Source organism: Homo sapiens, chromosome 20 (assembly GCF_000001405.40).
Source record: "Homo sapiens chromosome 20, GRCh38.p14 Primary Assembly".
NCBI classification, from domain to species: Eukaryota; Metazoa; Chordata; class Mammalia; order Primates; family Hominidae; genus Homo; species Homo sapiens.
This window is the reverse complement of record NC_000020.11, coordinates 9,956,902-9,961,190: the sequence shown is the minus strand read 5'-3', so window position 1 is coordinate 9,961,190 and position 4,289 is coordinate 9,956,902.

Below are 4,289 nucleotides of genomic sequence, written 5' to 3'. Positions count from 1 at the left end.
GAAATTCAATTCCCTTTGCTTTCTCCGCCCATTCCAGAGCAGATGCATGTTTGCTTGATATAATGAATTTGGTGACAAACAAACTGGTAGATGTTATCTCATGTAATTTTGGGATATTGTTTCGTTAGTGGGTCAAACAAGGATTCACTGTTTCCCATTTTCTCACCCATATCTTTGCCCAAATTTATTTATTTTTCCTCCTATTTACTCTTTTGCTGGAAATATTTTGACATTTCAACTTCCTAATAGAGATATGTGATTGAAAACAATCATTTTCTGTCCCTCTGTAAACCTTATTCATGTAACAGTAAACCAATTGTTTTTTATTATACTTTAAGTTCTGGGGTACATGTGCAGAACGTGGAGGTTTGTTACGTAGTTATACATGTGCCATGGTGGTTTGCTGCACCCATCAACCCATCACCTACATTAGGTATTTCTCCTAATGTGCTTCCTCCCCTAGCCCCCAACCCCCGACAGGTCCCCATGTGTGATGTTCCCCTCCCTGTGTCCATGTGTTCTGATTGTTCAATTCCCACTTATGAGTGAGAACATGTGGTGTTTGGTTTTCTGTTCTTGTGTTAGTTTGCTGAGAATGATGAGTAAACCAATTTAAAAAAAAAAAGGAGTAAGACCTACTAGTACAAGGGACAGGAGAGGCAGCTACAACATAAAATATTGGAAGCTAGAAAATGGGTGAATCAGAAGAACCTGACTTAGCAAACCAAAGAAGGTCAAGTGATAAGCCTCAAGTGGGGACTGAGGAGAAGCAGTCCAATTAGCAGCCACTGACCTCCAGCAGGCTCAGAAGTTGGCAGTACTGGGTATCCCTGGAAGTGGGGAAGAAGGTGGCGCCATAACAGGGGATTGATTGGAAGTCTCTTGAGTTCAATTGCAAGATCCTACAGTCCATTCTTTGTGGCCAGGCAATCATCTTTCTTCATTCTGGTAAAATACCGGAAGTTTAGTAGTGGGAGAGGGTAACTGAAAAGTCTCTGGGCTGGAGGGTTGGAGGTACAGTGAAAACAGGAAGGTCCAGGCCTGCATCTGACGTTTTCAGAGCCCAAAGCAAGAGTATTCATGGGAGCTGTGGCCCTGGCCTCCCTTCCTTGCCTTCACACCCTGATTTCTTTCTTGACTGTCAGGGCCTTGAATGAGCACCTGTGGACACCCAGCCCTCCTGTGCAAGCTCTATCAGACTCCTGCAAATGGACACTCTTGTATATCTCTTGGTTTCAGGGGTGCATACACTGGTTGGTAAAATTGTTCATCCTCAGAGGGACAGACTGAGGGAACAGGCCCACATAGTCCCTGGAAGCAAGCTTGAGGCCACTTGGCAGAATTCTGAAACACAGTCTACAAACGGGGGATGGTGCCCTTGGCTATGGGAAAAGGTATCAACAAAGAAGGGCCAGAGAAAGGTCCTTTTAAGAATGTTGTCCAGGCTAAAGTGACTGTCTTGGTTTGCCTGGAACCATACTGGTTTTAGCACTAAAAGTCTCACATCCCAGCAGACTCCTCAGTCCAGGGCAAACCATGATGTTTGGTTATCCTTCCAGCTTAGTGGTGGTCCTGTATTTGCATACTTAACTCTGAGATCTCCAGCCTTCTTTTCCCATTTATTTCCCAGAGTGCTGGCAGCAAGGCCTATATCATCCAGGTACAAAATTAAAAGTTTTTCTCTGGGGAATTTGAGCAGCCCAAGGAGAAAGAGCTAAGAACTCTGACTTTAAAGATTATCTCAGAAACCTCCCTTAGACACCTCCATGGTAAAGCCCAGAGTTAACAAAGCCCATCCACTGGTTCAGAGCATCTAATGAGCTTTCAGGGCCCTAGGTTTAAACATAAGCAGATTGTTGAGGATCACTAGACACTTAGGAAATTCTTTATCATAAAAGATTAAGACCAAAATAAATAGACCAAAAAAAAAAATCTATTTGGAGAAAACATATTATGCAATGAGAAGAAATTTTAAAACACCTACATTAATATGCTCAAATCATAAAAGAAAATATTGTATTTATGAACAATAGAAGAAGATATTAAAAGAAAACTTCAAATCATTTTTTTTAAATGTTAGAAATTAAAATGTGAGAACAAACTTAAAAACTCCATGGAAGTATCAGAAAATAAAGTTGAAAATGTTTCCACAAATGAAAGAATGTAAAGATAGAAATGGAAATAGGAGAGGAAAAAAAAGAAATACTCCCACAAGATCTGAAAGCAAAAAGAAAAGAAAAGAAAGAGAGAAAGAGAAGAAAGAAAAAAAGAAAGAGAGAGAGAGAAAGGAAGGAAAGAAAGGGAAGGAAAGGGAAGGAAGGAAGGGAGGGAAGGAAGGAAGTGAGGGAAAGAAGGAAAGAAAGAAAGAGAGAGAGAAAGAAAGAAAAGAAAAAAGAAAGAAAGAAAGAAAGAAAAGAGAGAATATTGCAAAGAAATATCAGGTATTAGGGAAATATCAGGTATAGGAAGAAACAATGATTTGAGAAATTTCCCAAAATGGAGGTGGATAAGTTTCCTGATTGAAAAATCCTAGGAAAATGAATAATTTTTCATTTATTTTCAGCAATAATTGAAAATATTCCTATGCCAAGACAATGGGGAAATATCAAAGACATAGGATGAAGAGGAGTTACTGCAAGCTTCAAAGATATTTTTTAAAGTTGTAATTAAAGAATAAAAATTGAGAATGGTCTTAGACCCCTCATGACCAGAACTAGAAGCTATAGATATCACTGGAAGCTATAGACAATGGAAACATGGTTTACAATTCCAAAGGAAATGTCTTTTTGACCTAGAATTTTATACCTTCACAACATGTAACTTAATGTAAGTTTAGAATATTTCCAGACAATACAAGGCCTCCAAAATCTTTCTTTGGAAGCTACCAGAGGATGTGCACACCAAAATGAATAAACAAACCACAAAAGAATAAGACAGGGCTTAAGAAATAGAGAATCCAATATAGGGAAGAGAGAAAGACAATTATCAGAAGGACATTGATTCACCAGACTCACGGCAACTCTTCTGATGAAAGCTTGCCAGAAAGGTTTGGGAGAAATGTATTTGAGAAAATAAAATTATTGGATAATGATATATCTGAACATTTAAAGAGGAGCAGTCAGTGAGATAAGTAACTGGCAGAGCATTTGGGGTTGAATTATTAAAAAATAAATACATGGGGAATTAAGAAAATAAACTAGATGGACAATTAATTGCAGATAAAAAGTTTGCAAGAAATGAAAAAAATACAGTATATCATGTGGATCAGTTGTAGATAGCATTATTAATCATTGTAATAATTGCATATTATTCTAACCCAAGTTGGAATGTAACTATCCTAAGAGGATGAGGAGAGGCAAAAGGTATATTTCAGGGTGGGGAGGACACGGGGGAGCTGGAAGATGCGAGAGAGAGAGATCATGTAGGAGTCACTATTTTTCGTATCAGGAAGACAGTAGGTAATGCCCAAGACTGAAAATACAAAGGGATAAGTATAAATGTGCAATTACAAGCCATAAGGATGTCTAAACCAAAAGAATAGTTGTAAAAGGTTGGGAATGCTTGTCTGTTGAAAGAAGGCATTGGGGGTGGCTGCAGGGATGTAGGGGACTCATGTTTTTCATAACAAATATTTGAAGAACTATTGTAATCTTTTAACTATATGCGTGTATAACTTCATAAAAACACTTTCCTTCCCAAAAGGAAAACATATTAGGGAAGTTCTAAGTTGTAACTCAGCTTCCTTTTTATTTAACGATATCTTTAAAAACTTTTTCTACACAATCCTTTAAATATTCTTTATTTAAATAAATTCAATGGTACTGACTAAAATAACCAACAGAAAACCACAGAGGTACTGTCTAAGTTGTAGGTTATGGGTAGTTGATTAAATTAAAACGAAACCAGTCATGTGATTTTAACTTTTCATTGGGGAAAATACATTTTTTTTTTTTTTTTTTTTGAGACGGAGTCTTGCTCTGTTGCCCAGGCTGGAGTGCAGTGGATCGATCTCGGCTCACTGCAAGCTCCGCCTCCCGGGTTCGCATCATTCTCCTGCCTCAGCCTTCTGAGTAGCTGGGACTACAGGAGCCCACCACCACGCCTGGCTAATTTTTTGTGTTTTTAGTAGAGACGGGGTTTCACCGTGTTAGCCAGGATGGTCTCGACCTCCTGACCTAGTGATCTGCCCGCCTCGGCCTCCCAAAGTTCTGGGATTACAGGCGTGAGCCACCGTGCCCAGCCGGGAAAATACATTTTTAAATAAAGTGTGAAGTTTAATTAGATTTGTG